Source organism: Homo sapiens, chromosome 10, assembly GCF_000001405.40.
Source record: "Homo sapiens chromosome 10, GRCh38.p14 Primary Assembly".
Taxonomy (NCBI): Eukaryota; Metazoa; Chordata; class Mammalia; order Primates; family Hominidae; genus Homo; species Homo sapiens.
This window is the reverse complement of record NC_000010.11, coordinates 37139061-37156093: the sequence shown is the minus strand read 5'-3', so window position 1 is coordinate 37156093 and position 17033 is coordinate 37139061. Positions and strand designations below refer to the sequence as shown.

Below are 17033 nucleotides of genomic sequence, written 5' to 3'. Positions count from 1 at the left end.
TTTTTTTTTTTTTTTGATAGCGTATCACTCTGTTGCCCAGACTGGAGTGCACTGGCGAGATCTTGGCTCGCTACAAGCTCCGCCTCCCAAGTTCACGCCATTTTCCTGCCTCAGCCTCCAGAGTAGCTGGGACTACAGGCACCCACCACCACGCCCGGCTAATTTTTTGTATTTTTAGTAGAGATGGGGTTTCACCGTATTGGCCAGGATGGTCTGGATCTCCTAACCTTGTGATCCGCCCGCGTCGCCCTCCCAAAGTGCTGGAATTACAGGCGTGAGCCACCACGACTGGCCTGAAATCTTAAAATAAATGAAAAACAAGCTAATCGCTGAACAAAAACTAAACAGTTGCTGTAGAATGACAACAACATTCTACAACCATTTATATATGATTTTTGCAAAAAGTGTTAATACCAATATGTATATGCTGACTGATAAGGAGAAAACTGATCTGGAATCACAGGAGCAAATCATGACACTGAGAAAATAAATGCAAAAGCTGAACGTAGAATGCTACACCATGTGTCTTTAATGCAACACATTATAATAATTTATATCATTACATTACAAACATTCATCATGTTCTTTAATATGTCCTGTCATTGAGAAGCCACACAGTTCAGATGAGAGTTCAGCTAAATGTAGAATTGACATCTCATCAGTGAAAGTGTAATTAATTGATCAGCTTGGATATATACTTAAAGCATAATACTAAATATAAATATTCATTGATTTTTATAACCATATGCTATAATAGTATGCCAACATTTTTGTAATTTCCAGCTTAGCCATCTCAATATTTCTTGATCCACTCATGGAGGAAGATGTACAAACTTCATCAGGAATAGCAAATTTAATAAGCTTTCAATATTGCTGTATTTCATTTAAATTTAGTTGCAATAGACTTTTAAATATTAATAACATTTTCTATGTTAAAATCAGTAAAATACCTATGAATAACAACAATTTAAGTATTCAAGTCATAAATTCAGAATTTTATGGTTTTTAAAATTAGTCTGGTTTCGTGTATCATGTTATTTGCTAATGAGGTTTTATAAAATGGCAATTTTACCAACACAATTTGCTTCCTTAAAAATAAAGCCAAGGTTCTTACATTCAAGTATATCTTATTCAAATTGTGAATATCAACAACATACATACATACATATATACATAAATATATTTGATGCCTCATAGTAATAAAGAAAATTAATGAGTCACTGAGGTTTAGTCCAATTCTAGTAATCCTCATGATTCCAGTAGTCTCCAGAGCACCCACACTCTAGCATTCTGCAGTAAAACTTTTCTAAATGCTTCTGAAGTGAGCTCACTCCATTTTCATTCATAGAAAATCCAAAATCATCTAGCTGGCTTCTCTCTTGTCCCCTGCTTCCTGCCTCACAATCTCTCTGCTTTAGCAAAAATAATCTCTAGACTTGTGCTCTTGGTTCTTCCCATTCAACACCTGTGAAAATTTTTTTCCCACTCTTTCCTTTTGTTTAGTGGTAGTATCTTCCATCTATAATTTCTATTGCATTGCCCCTTTCTTCTTCTCCCCTGACTAAAAACATCCTCAAAATTGAGAACACCATACTGCTCTCTCCTGACCCTTTTCTGTCTTGACCTTCTATCCAATTGTTCTTCCACATTTTTCCCACAAAAGGCCTCTCCTCTTGCTACCCAGAGCAAGGTCCAAGGACCACCAGCATCAGCATCACCTGAGAACTTTTTAAAAATGCAGAATCCCAAGTCGGCTGAATCTCAGTGTGAATTGTTAACAAGGTTTTCAGCTGATTTTCTAAAGTTTGAAAACTTCTGGTCTATACGGAGTGTATATGACAAATTATATACATGTGTGGCCATGCAGATATGCTTATTCTCACCTATTGCAAATAGAACACAGCTCTCCATGGTCAGGTGCTTCCATCCCTAATGGCTTCCCACCAGTGAGAAAGACATTAAGAGTCAGAATATTTTTGCTGTAATTCTCTGGTAAATTTTGATACTAGAAGGTCACTTTATATTCTTCCCAAATTTCTAACAATACCCAATCTTTTCCTAAAGAATCATTTCATTTTATCATCCTCCACTATATAAACCTGCTTCTTGTTCCTTCATGTACTCTCTGTACGTTCTGTCTTTCTCAGTCTTCAGTTACTCTATTACTACATTCTTCTTTCTTATTTTCTCATTTTCCTCAGGTCTTGCAATATCTTGAATTCAAACTAATAATTCAGCTCCTTTTCAGCACTCTCAATATAGTCTGTTGCCAACACCTGATGAGACATACAACTTACGACCATTGCACTTCTCTTTTTTTCCATGGTTTGCATTTAGGAGGTAATTTTCTTCAGCTACTAGAGGATATCCCTCCTCATCAGTTTAGAGAAATATTCGGTCAACTGATTTTTAAATAAAAAACGGTTCTTACCTTCTAATTTTCCATTTATTTTATCTATTTCTTTTTGATGTGTAGCCTTGGGTAAACACACATCCTTCTGTGAAACAGTCTCACAGAGACTCTGTTAAAAGTAATAGCAATAAATAATTTCAATGGATAAATCCTAGTAATGAAGAGTATCAAAATTTCCTAATTAAATTCTTTTTTAAAAACACAATTTCCTCCTTTGCAAACAATTCGACTTAAGTGCAGATACATATAGAAAACCAACACATTTTGATAGAAAACCTCACACAACCCTCTCTACATCAAGCTGATCTTTACATTCATGTGGCCATTAACTCAGTGACTGAGCAGGAAAAACAAATCACCTTGATAAAAAAATTCACTCGTGCATATTTCAAAAAGTATCTCTCTTAAAAATATCTAACTTATGTTCTAGTCCTCATCAAAAATAAATAAGACATTTCAAACAAAATACAACACATTTGCTACTTGCCAGGACACATACAGCATTAAACATTTAAAATATTCATGATCACAGAACTGTTTAGTGTTAAAAATGATGCATGTCATGAAGAGAACTTTTAGAGTCTGTCACAGAATGTATGCACAGAATATGAAAAAGCTGCTTCCTTTCGGTAAACAGGGGCTTAAAATAAGCAACATGTTTTAGACAAAATTTATGGTGATAGAAAAAGTGCTTGAATAGAATGTAAATGCAGTAAGAAAAAAATTACGTCACATCTAAATGAAAGCAAACAAGTGTTAAAGTCTTTTTGTCTAATAAAATATCAGATAAAATCTACCTATTGACTTCCACCTTTTGCTGTTACCACCAGGCAGCAGCTGCTTGTTTCTAAGAGGTCAGATACTTCCCATGTCTTTCCACAGTTGTGACCTTAAAATACATCACTATTATTTGACGCTCATGCTGCTGCAGCTTGACTGCCATAAGAGGACTCAAGGAGTTCTATTTGTGAAAATATAATTTATATTTTTCAAAAGACTACTCAACCAATACTCTTGTTATTATACTCCCACAAGGTTTCCTATTCCTCATGCTTTTCTTTCTGCTGAAATGTTCCTTCAGATCTATACTGAACAATAAACATATGTCAATACATTCAAGTCCCAGGCATTAACTTTTCAGGTCCCAGCTTTTACAATACTGCAGTTTAAAATGTCTCTCTATGCATCCAATTAGAACTTTTGTACATCTAGATGTAAGACAGAATCATATATTTGCCCATAGCTGGAATCAGTGTAATTCTTTCACTTTTAGACAAATGTACTTCAGATCCCATGTGAATTTCTAGTGAATTCTAAGCCTTAGTTTTTACACTATACCACTTTGGCTTCTTAAATTAATCGTACAAATTCCCAGAATTTCACTATGAAGCAGTAATCTACTTAGCACATAGATTCTCCATTAAGCATATTCTGAAAAATATCAAAAATAATTTCGGGGTGACATATGAAGAGGCGAGAAAATAAAGCCTAAGCCTCTGCCTTTATGTTTTCATATCATGCAATACTAATATTAAAAAAAAATCAATAACACATAGTACCTCAGAATCCCAAGAATTTTCTTCATAGTCCTTTTGTTTGGATTCTGGTGGGAACATCGGATCTATAAAAGGTTAATCACAGAAACATTCATGACAACATTTCTCTACTATAAATTTTAAAAACATATACAAATCTACTTTCATTCACGAATCTGTGGTTTTTCCTCTGTGGCCCGTATATTCTTTTTGTCGATTACAATAACTACTTCTATAGTCATTCCATTAGAATTGAAATCTAAAAAGTCTGAAAATTAACATTATTTCATTACAATGCAGAAAAATAGAAATTTGATTAACTTGTATGGATTATTTCTTCATAAAGCAGTCATATCCTCTTCTCCTCTGAAACACAGTATGTCCTATATTTGCTGTTCATTCAGAAAACTTTAATTACCTATCATCTCTCTTTTCTTTGTAAATTTATATTTGGTAGTATTACTTAGTTTGATTGACTCAGCAATCTCTATTACACAGTTCTTCCACAAAGATGATTTATCAATGAATAAGATTTTTTAGGAGTATTAACTTTTTGATGTTAGTCAACTATATGTCCAATCCTTTTACATTTCAATATTCTATGACAGTGTATTGGGTGTGTTTTGGGTGTGTATATGTTTTAGGAAGATAAGCTTAAAAACTTTTATTGAATATAAATTAACAACTGCTTCAATTACAATGACATACTTCTTCCCTAATGCAACAATATCTTCAGAGTCAGTTTGTGACACCTTGGAGAAACATCAGAAATGTATAGGAAAATATAATTGCCTTAAGTAATCTAACGTTCCCACATGTTATAGGATAAAATCAAGGCCCACTCAAGACTTGACGAGTTCTCAGGAACATGAGACAGAAAATGAATTTATACCAAAAATAATGTCCAGTTTTCTTTATCAGTACAAAGTACAAATTACAACTATTTGAATCAGGTTGAGGAAAAAAAGCAAACATGCACAACTAAAACTTAAAAGACCGTTTCATCACTATGCATACGTTTCTCATTTGACATCCATCAACTGTATACCTGGTTTTCAAAAGTAAGTTTAACTTCTGATCTTAGCATCCCTAATGTTCACATTTCATGCAGAGGGTACAAGAAACTCAAATCACACTTTGGTAAGTCACCATGTTCACTCATTTTTAGAAGCGTACCCTGGATCGTTTCAGAGATCTAACGTGTTGCCACACCATAGCTCTAAGAAGCTGTGGGGCACAGTTCAAATTCTTAGTGGAGTGTATGATTGCACAAGGAAATACTTTAAATATTTTACTTTTAGTTTCTAATACCTAAAAAATCAGCAGATAACACTAACTTTTGAAAGAGTCTGAAATCTGAATGTTTTCATTTTTATTTATTACTTATCAGCATAAAAATTGTGCAATTAACTATGGTACTGTCATACAATGGAATTTTATAAACAACCTAATATTAAAAAACACAGTTAATTGTGTCCTTTATGGATGTCACTAAAAATTATGATGCTGATCAAAAAAGAATGTTTCTGAACATTACACCGTACAACCATGTATGCATTAGAAGTTGAAAAAAATTGTACATATTAAATATGACCACGCACACATGTTGTAAAATGTTTAAACATGCATAAGAATAGTTTTAAAAAGTAGGTTAGTGTAAAAAGACTCTAAACCCAAATGCTTCAGAATTACAGTTTTAGGAAAAAGTGTGCTTATCAAATATTCACAAAGAAATGACTAATTACTTTCCTCATCTTTACAAGGTAAAGGTACCAAACACATAAACAGACACACACAGGAACACACGCAGACACACACACACACAAACACACAGAGTTCACTAATCCGAGTTACTGATTTTCTTAGGATTCCCAAAGTGACAACACTGGAAACAAGGTAATTAATATTAAAACACAAGTGTTATATCAGTAAAAGACGTGATCCCCGAAGTAAACAGTGGAATTTGAATCAAGCTTCGAAGAACTAAAAGAAGTTAAGAGTTTCAAAATTCACCTACTTGAATCTTTAAGAATTACAGAAGTTCAAAATAGTAAACATTACAGTTTCGGGATACAAAAGTAGAAACATCTGAGATTAAGGCTACATTTTTAAAAAATATATTAAAAATTACTGTTCTTGTAATATCAGGTTTTCAAACATCAATACCAGTATTGGCATTATCTAGATCAAATGTTTTCATCAAAGTTGAAAAAAATAAAGCATTGGGGATAGAAAGACCATCAAAATGTCCAATATTGAAATATTCGTCTTTGCATAGTTAAATTGAAAAATTTACCTGCTCTCAATGTTTGTTCATTCTTCAATTCAAAGGCTTTATTTGGAACAGAGTTTTGCATTTCAATGGCAGGCTAAATGGGGTTGGAAGCAAAATGATTAATAAAGAATGTATACTTCACAAATACATAATTAATAAGTCATTCAAAATGAAATAATAAAACTAAATACCTTGAAGGCAGATGGCTTCTTAGGAGGCTCTAAAAAGCAAAAGAGATTTATCATCAATCATAAGTAAGTATGACAATGCCAACCAAATGAATGCAGTCATAGTATGTAACTGATTCCTCTTGGTCGACTTTGAGAACGAATACTTTAGATTTGGAAAGTTTTCTTTTGGTTTGTTTAGGACACACACACGACAGGAATACACTGAAGAAAATATAAATATAGGTTTCATAGATCGTGCAGTTAAGACTTCAAAGCGAGATTGTGTTTCACGTGTAAAAAGGGTTGATATGAGAAAATAAATGTCAAAGCTGAACATGGAATGCTACACCACGTACTTAATGAAACATATTAGAATCATTTATGTTATTCTATTCATCATGTTCTTTAATATGGCCTATCTTTGGAAAAGTACATAGTTATGATGAGAGTTCAGCTGAATGTAGAATTGACATCTCATCAGTGAAGTGTTATGAATTGATCAGCTTGGATATATACTTAGTTCATAATACTAAATATAAATATTCATTGTTTTCCATAACCATATGGTGTAATAATATGCCTACATTTCTGTATCCTCCAGTTTATACATCTGAATGCTTCTTGATCCACTCATGCAAGATGATGTATAAAACTCATCATGGAAATAATCTATAATAAGCTTTCAATATTGACATATGTATATAAAAATTAATTGCAATAGATGTATTAAACATAAATAACTTTTTATATTATAAAGTCACCACAATATTTATTTTAAAAAGCAATCTTATTATTCAAGTATAAATTCAGTATTTTTTTAGCTCCTACAATTCATCTGATTTGGCGTATCATTAGTCTATAATAAATTTTTGTGGAATGACAATTTTACCAAAACAACTCACTTTCTTAAAATATAAAGCCAATGTTCTTAGTTTCAAATATATCTCACTTGAATAGCTAACATCAACCAAATATATATTTGTCATGCCTGATTGTAACATAGAAACCTAATGAGTCACTTTGGTTTCTCCAATTCTAGTAAGACTCCTGCTTCTGGTAGTCTCTGGAGTGTCCATAATTTACTTTCTGGAGTGCAAATAATCTAAACACATCTGAAGCGAGTTCACTGAACTGTCCTTCTCAGAGTCTCCAAAATTACCTACCTACCTTCTCTCTTGTTTGTCCCGTTACCTGCCTAGAATGCCTCTGCTAAAAAAATTTTTAAAAAAATTTAAAAAAACTCTAACTTCCTAGAACTGATTTTTTCCATCCAACACTGTTTCAAATTTATTTTTCCATCACTTCCTTTCTCCTTGTTTAGTGACAGTAACTTAAATTTATAATTTGTTTCTTTATCTTTTTATTCTTCTTCTCTGGCTAAAAGCATACTCAGAAATAAAAGGAATATAATGCTTTCTCTTGACCCTGTTTTGTCTTATCCTTTTATCCAATTGCTCTTCTTCCACATTTTTCCCATGAATGGCCTCTCCTCTTGCTACTCAGAATGAGCTCCAAGTACCACTGGTATCAGCATCGCCTGAGAACTTATTAAAATTTAGAAACTCAATTATGCTGAATGATACTGTGTATTAACAAGGTATTCAGCTGATTTTCTAATGTTTCATAAGTATTTGTCTATACTGAGTGTATATGATAAATTTTATAGATGCACACCTATGCATTTTTGTTAATACTCACCTATTGCAAATAAAACACAATTCTGCATGCTCAGATAATTCCATTCCTAATGCCTTCCCAGTAGTGAGAAAGACAGGAAAAGTGAGAAAACTTTAGCTATAATTTTCGGACAAGTTTTGGTACTGGAAGATCATTTTATATTCTTGCCATCTTTCTAAGCATGGTCTATCTTTTCTAAAAAATATTTTATTTTGCCACCTCCATTATATAAACCTGCTTCTTGTTCCTTCATGAACTCCCTGTACTCTCTCTGCCTTCTTTAGTCTTCATTCCCTTTTTACTCCTTTTCCCTTACTTGTTTCCTGACTTTCGTCATGTCCTAGAGTATCTTGGATTCAAACAAATAATTCGGTTGTTTTTTTTGCACTCTCTACATATTCCTGTTGCCAACACCTGAAAAGATACATAACTTATCATTTTACTCCTCTCTTTTCGATGTTATGTATTTAGTGGGTAATTTTATTTGGCTATTAGAGTATATCAGTCATCATGCATTTAGACAAACATATGGTTAAAAGACTTTTCAAATAAAAAATCGTTCTTACCTTCTACTTCTCTATTTATCTCCATTACTTTTTGATATATAGACTCAGGTATACACACTTGAATCTTTGCAGAACTCTCAAAGAGACTCTGTTAAAAGTAGTATCAATAGATAATTTCAGTTTTAAAATCATAAGCATGAAAATTCCTAATTAAAATATTTTTTAAACTCAATTTCTGACTTCAAAGGCAATTTGATTTGAGGATAGGCACATATTGAAAATCATGACATTTTGATAGAAACCCTCACACATGCTATCTATATCAAAACTTATCTGTTATCTTCATGCAGCTATTGACTCGGTTACTGAGCATGAAAAATAAATAACATTGACAAAAATTTTCACTCATCTGCATATTTCAAAAAGTAGCTCACTTAAAAATATCTTACTTTATCTTCCTCACCAAAAATCAAGAAGGCACATCAAACAAGTACAATACACTTGCTACCTGCCATAACACATGTTGGGGTTCAATCAGACTGGTGGAAAAAATATTAGAGGTAGTTATATAAATAGACACAAATCTTCTTGGAAGGCCGAGAAGTTTGCATAACTTTGGTAATAGATATGGTTGAAGGCAACCTGATCTTTACCTTTAGTTAAACAAATTAAAGTAGTCATAAAGGAAGGCAGAGTAGCTTACCTAGCTAGCTTGTTTACTCATATAATCTTAAGACTCACCTTTGATGTACCACAGGTGCTTAAGTGCTTTTTACTCAGGACTACCCCAGGAAGTCCACAATGTCAATTACCCTCTAAGGGTATTGACTCAAGCTTTTGTTAATTAATCATACTGAATAAATGCGAGTCTGACTAGCTGATCAGGGCCATAGTCACAACTGTTTACAGAACTCAACAGGGAGTCTGTAAGCCACTCAGACGCCCTCAGCTGGACTGGCAGAGAAGAATATCTGTGTGTCAATGTACTTTATTCATCTGTCCCCGGGTCAGGGGTCTGCAAGGGACAGACTCCCTGCAGCTGGTGCCCCCTCCAGAGGAGCGCTGCCGCAAATACATACTGCATTAAACACTGAAATTATTCATGATAATAGAATTATTTAGTGTTAAAAATGATGCATGGCATGAAAAGAATGTTAAGAATAAGTCATATAAAGTGCACTCAGAACATTGTAGAAGCTGCTTTATTTAGGTAAATGGGCTTAAAATAATCAACATGTTTTTGATAAAATATCTGCTGATGGAAAAAGTACTTGAATAAAATGAAAAAGTAGTAAGGAAAACTTATATTTATGTTATGTTTAAATGAAAGCAATCAAGTATTAGAAAGTCTTTTTTTGTCTATGGACAAATTAGATAAAGTCTGCTTGTCTGTTGTCATCTCATTTCTGTTACCACTGTGCAGCAGGGGCTTGGATCTAAGAGGTCAGGCACTTCCTGTGTCTTTCCACAGTTGTGACCTTGGACTATATCACTATTATTTGATACTTATGTTGCTATAAGCATGGCTACCACAAACGGACTCAAAGAGTTCTATCTGTAAAAATAATTTCTACTTTTTAAAATACTACTCAACCAAATTGTTGTTATTATAGTCCCACTGGTTTCCTATTCTTTATGCATGTTTGTCTCCTGAAATGTTCCTTCAGATCTATACTGGACAATACAGATACGTCAATAATTTCCAATCCAAGCATTATCTTTTATGTTTCAAGTTGTACAAAACTGCAGCTTAAACTGTTTTTCTATGAATCCAATTAAAATTTTTGTACGTCTAGATATACCACTGAGTCATATAATTGCCCAAAGATGAACTCGGAGTAATTCTTTAGCTTTTGATCAAATTTCACCTCAGAACTCATGTGAATTACTGGTGAATTCTAAGCCTTATTTTTTACACTGTACTACACAAGTGTCTGAAACTAATTCTGAAAATTAGCAGAATTTCACTACCAAGCAGTAATCTACTCAGCACACATTTTTTTTTAAGTATTTCTTTTTTTGGAGACAGAGTCTCACTCTGTCACCCAGACTGGAGTGCAATGGCCCGATCTGAGTGCAATGGCACGATCTCAGCTCACTGCAACCTCCACCTCCCGGGTTCAAGTGATTCTCCTGCCTCAGCCTCCTCAGTAGCTGGGATTACAGGGGTATGCCACCACACCCAACTAATTTTGTATTTTTAGTACAGACAGGGTTTCACCATATTAGCCAGGCTGGTCTCAAACTCCTGAACTCAGGTGATCCTCCCACCTCGGGCCTTCCGAAGTGCTGGGATTACAGGCATGAGTCACCGTGCCCAGCCAAGTATGTTTTTAGAAATATCAGAATTTCTTCTGAGCATAGGCAGTGGTAAGAAAACCAAGTCAAAGCCTCTGACTTTATATTTTCACATCACTCAATATTAATATTTTTAGAGAATAACATCAATAATACACAATACCCGAGAATCACAAGAATATTCTTCATCTTCCTCTTGTTTGGATTCTGATGGGAACCTCTGATCTATAAAAAGTTAATCACAGATATATTCATGATAACATTTCTTATTATAAATTTTTAAAACATATACAAATCTATTTTCATTCATGAATCTGTGGACTTACTTCTATAGCCTGTATATTCTATTGGTAGATAACCACAACCACTTCTATAGTCAAATGGTTAGAGCTGCAATCTTAAAAATGTAAAAATTAATTTTATATTCATTAGAATGCAAAAAAATTAAAAATTTGATTAATTTGTATTAATTATTTCTTCACAAAAGAAGTCCTATCCTCTTCTCCCGTGAAGCATACTATGTCAGATATTTGCTGTTCACTCAGATAACTTTAATTACCTGTCAGCTCTCATTACTTTCTTTTATTTTTTAGTATTATGTAGTTTGATTGACTAATCTTTATTATATGGTTCTTCAAAAAAGATTATTTATCAATAAATAAGATGCTTCAAAATATTAACTTTTTGATATTAGCAAAATATATGTCCAACCCTTTTAAATTTCAATATGCCATGACAGTATATTTGGTGTGTATGTGTTTTAGATAAATAAGCTTAAAGAACTTGTATTGCATATAAATTAAAAACTGCTTTAATTACAATGAGATAGTCTTTCCTTAATGCAACAATACCTTCAGAATCAACTTGTGCCTCCTTGGAGAAACATTAAAAATTTATAGGAAAAACAATTGCCTTAAGTAACTAAATTTCCCACATTTCATAGAATTAAATCAAGGTCCATGCAAGGCCCAAGGAATACTGACAGCCATGAGACAGAAAACAAATATATAACAGAAATATTCTAAATTCTTCTGAAGTGAATTCACTCAAATTTCCTAGTTAGACACAGCCCCTTAACTGATGGCTTTCACAGGGACAAAGAAACCCTACCAATTACTACGGTTATTTTTAAGTTAAAAAAAATTCAGTAAAAGAAATCAAAATAAAATAACGGCAAAGAAAGACCTACGTATTTAAATGTGTAAATTGAGCTTCTGAACTTGACTCTTTTTACCCTGGATGGGTCAAACTTTCATAATAGATTGATACTAGGCCACAGATTGGTGACAAAAAAAAAAAAAAAAGACTATAGCATGAACTACTACAAAAGTTTCGTCTTTAAATCTTTTTATGTAATTACCCTCCATCTTTCTTCTATATGAAGGGCCAGCAAACTATAGGCCACAGGCCAAATTCAGCTTACCAAATGGCTTTTTATACAAAGTTTTATTGGAATACAATCTTGCCTGTTTGCTCACACATTATCTATGACTGCTTTCACCCTACAATGCAGAGTTCAATAGCTGTTATAGAGACCACATGGCCTAACATTTTTTTTTCTTTTTTTAGATGGAATGTTGCTCTGTCACACAGGCTAGAGTGTAGTGGTACGATCTCAGCTCACTGCAACCTCTGCCTCCTGGGTTCAAGTGATTCTCCTGCCTCAGCCTCCTAGGTAGCTGGGATTACAGGTGCATGCCGCCACACCTGGCTACTTTCTGTATTTTTAGTAAAGATGAGGTTTCACCATGTTGGCCAGACTGTTCTCGAACTCCTGACCTGGTGATCCGCATGCTTCAGCCTCCCAAAGTGCTGGGATTACAGGTGTGAGCCACCATGCCCAGCGGCCTAACATATTCCCTATCTGTCACTTTACAGGAAAAGTTTGCCAATCTCTGCCTTATACCATAACCAGTATGCCCTGATACTCAAATCTAATCTTGTGACTCCCCTGCTCAAAATTTTCCAATGAATCCCTGCAGAAAACATTGCTGGCTTCCTATGCATAAGCATTATTTTTTCTTTCTTGCTGCAGAAACACAAGTTTCTTTAGATATTCAGTATTCCATTACCCCAATCCCATCTCAAAAAGAGAAATCATTATTCTAAGCTAATCACAGTAATTACATTTGCTTTCCTAGTGACTGGTTTAGATATGGGCATGTGGTGTAATCCAGCCAATAAAATGTTACAGGAAGATTACTGCAAGCTTCCAAGTTTTCTCCCTATTTAAAAGAAACATGTGAACAAAAGCAGCCCTTCCAGCCTTTAAATATTGTCTTGAGAGAGCATGATTATTGGAGCTGTTGCTAACTAGCCAACCATAAGTGGGATCCTGGCTGGGCACAGTGGTTCACACCTGAATTCCCAGCACTTTTGGAGGCCAAGGCAGGCATATCATGAGGTCAGGAGTTTGAGTCTGGTCAATATAGTGAAACCCTATCTCTACTAAAAATACAAAAAATTATCCAGGTGTGGTGGTGGGCACGTGTAATCCTAGCTACTTGGGAGGCTAAGGCAGGATAATCACATGAACCTGGGAGGCGGAGGTTGTAGTCAGCCGAGATCACTCGTGCCATTGCACTCCAGCCCAGGGGACAGTTCGAGACTCTGTCTCACAAAAAAAAAAAAAAAAAAAAAAAAAAAAAAGTGTGATCCTATGATATCCCTGTACCACCAAACAACTTTGGTTCCTATGGTTTTAGCCATTGTTAGTTAGTTCATCTAGCATTTACGGCCAGAAGAATTGTGAGAATTTTTCCAGGACCTACAGAATAAGAGCTACTTATTCCTATACTATTAAAAAGTGTTGCCTAAGCTCGCCTTATTTAGATATTCAAGTCATTCCCAACTACTCCCATATCACACTTTTTTCACTAGGGAACCTGAAGTGCCAATAAACCTTACAAAGTTCGCTCTAGCATCTTACCATTGGCACTTGCTTTTGTAGATGATTCTTTTGTAGGACATGCAATCATCTTAGATCTTCCTTTTTCCAAAACTTTAGTTTTATTAGATGTTACTCTTGCCACGCATCCAGTCTTTACAGGTGTTTCTTTTTTCTCCCATGCGATCTTCCTAGGTCTTCCTTTTGCTGCCCACGTAAATTTCTCAGATGTTTCTTTTGCGGGACTCATAATTTCCCTAGGTGTGTCTTCTTTTTTCTCCCATGCGATCTTCCTAGGTCTTCCTTTTGCTGGCCACGTAAATTTCTCAGATGTTTCTTTTGCAGGACTCGTAATTTCCCTAGGTGTTTCTTCTGCTGACTGTTCGAACTTTCCAGATGTCGCTTTCTCCAAACATTGAATTTTGTCAGATGTTCCCTCCACCAAGGATGCAGCCTCATCAGGTGTTTTTTCCACCAAGCTTTCAGCCGTGTCAGGTGTTCTTTCCACCAAGGGTGCAGCCTCATCAGGTGTTTTTTCCACCAAGCTTTCAGCTGTGTCAGGTGTTCTTTCCGCCAAGGGTGCAGCCTCATCAGGTGTTCCTGCAGATGTTCCTTCTGCCAAACACACAATCTGGTTAAATTTTCCTTCTACTAAATATCATCCTCCTGACTCTTCACCTGGCAAACTTCTACTCATTCTGTATGCTTTCCTTAAATACTACCAAACTTTTCTTTTCTCTTTTTTTTTTTTTTTTTTTTTGAGACAGAGTCTCACTCAGTCACCCATGCTGGAGTGCAGTGGTGTGATCTCAGCTCAATGCAATTCAAGCAATTCTCCTACCTCAAGCGATTCTCCTACCTCAGTCTCCCAAGTAGCTGGGATTACAGACGTGGGCCATATCACCCAGCTAATTTTTCATATTTAGTAGAGACGGGTTTCACCATGTTAGTCAGGCTGGTCTCAAACTCCTGAGCTCAAGCAATACATCTGCCTTGGCCTCCCAGAGTGCTAGGACTACAGGAGTGAGCCACTGTGCCTGGACACTACCAAACTTTTTAAAGCTTTAATTCTTCACCTTGGATATAAAAGGTCTGACACATGCTGAATACAGTAACGACATGACATAATAAGTAATAATTATAAGCTTCCAAAGGGGTTCTGGCACAGAGTAAGCACTAAATAAAGTAACAAATAATAAAAAAAGACAATAATAACAAGAAAAATGCTTAATACCTTAATAAAGTAGTAAATAATATAAAATGACCAATTATATAATAACAAGGAAGATGCTTAGTACCTTAAAGATACCTAACAATTATTTGTTAAGTGGACAAGTGGATAAATGAATAAAAAAACATTTTTTACGAAATTCTGTTGGAAAAATGCAGAAATTCAATAAGGACAGCTCTACTGTTTTATGAGCACCTTAAAGACCCAAACTATATGTATTCTATCCTTGTCTCCTGCAACTTGCAAAACCTAACTTACAGAGGTCCTTTAATAAATATATAATAAAGATATGCCCATATAATTCATATTGTACAATGCATTATGTCACATTTAGGTATCATAGTAGCATTTTTGTTATTATGAAAAATTTTTCTAACTTCATTATAATTTGTTGAGCCTAGAGTTAAGCTATTTGAATATTTATAATGATAATATTTTGGCTATTAGAAACAGAGTATCTTGTTGTAACAAATTACTATTAACACCCTAATTATCCAGCAGATAGAACAACATATCTTGTTTTAATGAAGTAAATATATCTTATTTGGTTTCAACTTGGAGGAAATGAAGTTGATAATAGTGAGACCTTGTTGGTACAAGACTATGTAACATAACCTGCGCTTCTCAACAAATAATTGCTTTTCTGACTTCTGCATTCAGTAGGTATCTTTGGAAAATAATTTCCTATTGGTACTGAGGCACCCTGGCTAAGTTTTGTAATTCTTGTTGACATTTGTTTATGGCACCAGGAAAGCATTATTAAGTTTTCAAATTCTAAAGATAGTTACTTTTTTAGTGACACGAGTCACTATGTCACACAGTTGATGCTTGAATATGGGTTTTCACTGTAGGAGCCCACTAACAGACAGATTTTTCTTTTCCTTTGCCACTGCAAGATAGCAAGACAAATCTCTCCTCTGCTTCCTCCTTATCAGACTACTCAACATGAAGGCAATAAGAATTAAGATCTTTATGTATAATAATTCACTTCCACTCAAAAGTGAATATATTTTTCCTTCTTATAAAAGTTTCTTTCCTCCAGCTCACTTTATTGTAAGAATACACTATATAGTACATATAAAATAGAAACTATGAGTTAATTGACTGTTTGTGCTTTCAGGAAGGCTACAGGTCAACAGTGGACTACTAGTAAAGTTTTGGAGGAGTCAAAAGAAAGAGATTTTCATATGAAGCAGATTTTCAGCTGCATGGGGGATCAGCACCCTAACTCTCATATTGCTCAAGACTCAACTGTAATTAATTCTCATTTACTAAATGCAAACCATTTATTGTAAAAATTAAATAGAGACCAGAGGTTCAATATCAACCTGGGCAAAATAAGGAGACCATGTCTCTACAATCAATCAATCAATCAATCAATAAAACCATGTTTCTTCATAGGTTATTGTGGGAGTTCAGTCAGGCTGGTGAGAAACATTTTAATATGAAGTTATAGGACATAGACACAAATCTTCTTGGAAGGCCAGAGGGTTTTGTAAAAGTCTCAAGATATGGTTATGGCTGAAAGCAGCCTAATTCTTACCTTGCATAAATAGCTTAAAGTGGATACAAAGGAAGGTAGAGTAGTTTATCTAAATAGCTTGTTTACTTATGTGGTCTTAAGACTAACCTTTGATCACCCATGGGCAGGATGGCTCTCCAGGGTGGGGATGACCAGGTTAATTACCCACGGGTGTGTTGACTCAAAGCTTTTGTCATTAAAACTTTACTAATAAATGCCCACAGGGCCAGCTAGCCAGGGCTGTGGCTGCTGACTCTTTACAGCATCTTCCTTGGTGTCTGTAATCAGCTCGGAATCCTTGCTGCTCTTTCACTGAATATCAGTATCTGGTTATGTGTCTCAACCATCTGCAGGACAGACCCCTGCAGGTTATAATATTCAAATGTTGTTGACAAAATCTCTCAGCATTTGCTTGTCTGTAAAGTATTTTATTTCTCCTTCACTTATGAAGCTTAGTTTGGCTGGATATGAAATTCTGGGTTGAAAATTCTTTTCTTTAAGAATGTTGAATATTGGCCC

At 34.7% G+C, this 17033-nt stretch overlaps 1 protein-coding gene across 7 annotated transcripts in view; it reads right to left on the bottom strand.

The window, feature by feature from the left end:
- The window catches only part of ANKRD30A (ankyrin repeat domain 30A), a 140297-nt gene that overhangs the window by 109801 nt on the left and 13463 nt on the right, over positions 1-17033 (bottom strand). For 6 of the 7 annotated variants that reach the window (XR_007062015.1, XR_930524.4, NM_052997.3 and 3 more), the window contains exons 7-13: positions 13804-14376; positions 11038-11099; positions 8637-8724; positions 6415-6443; positions 6245-6317; positions 3973-4034; positions 2432-2522 (exon numbers count right to left, since the gene is read on the bottom strand). Coding sequence is in view for 5 of the 7 variants with exons in the window: in NM_052997.3 (NP_443723.3) it covers positions 2432-2522; positions 3973-4034; positions 6245-6317; positions 6415-6443; positions 8637-8724; positions 11038-11099; positions 13804-14376 (978 nt within the window). In the remaining 2 variants the exon portion in view is untranslated. The remainder of the gene's footprint in view (positions 1-2431; positions 2523-3972; positions 4035-6244; positions 6318-6414; positions 6444-8636; positions 8725-11037; positions 11100-13803; positions 14377-17033) is intronic. The other variant, XM_047425992.1, reaches the window with a different exon arrangement.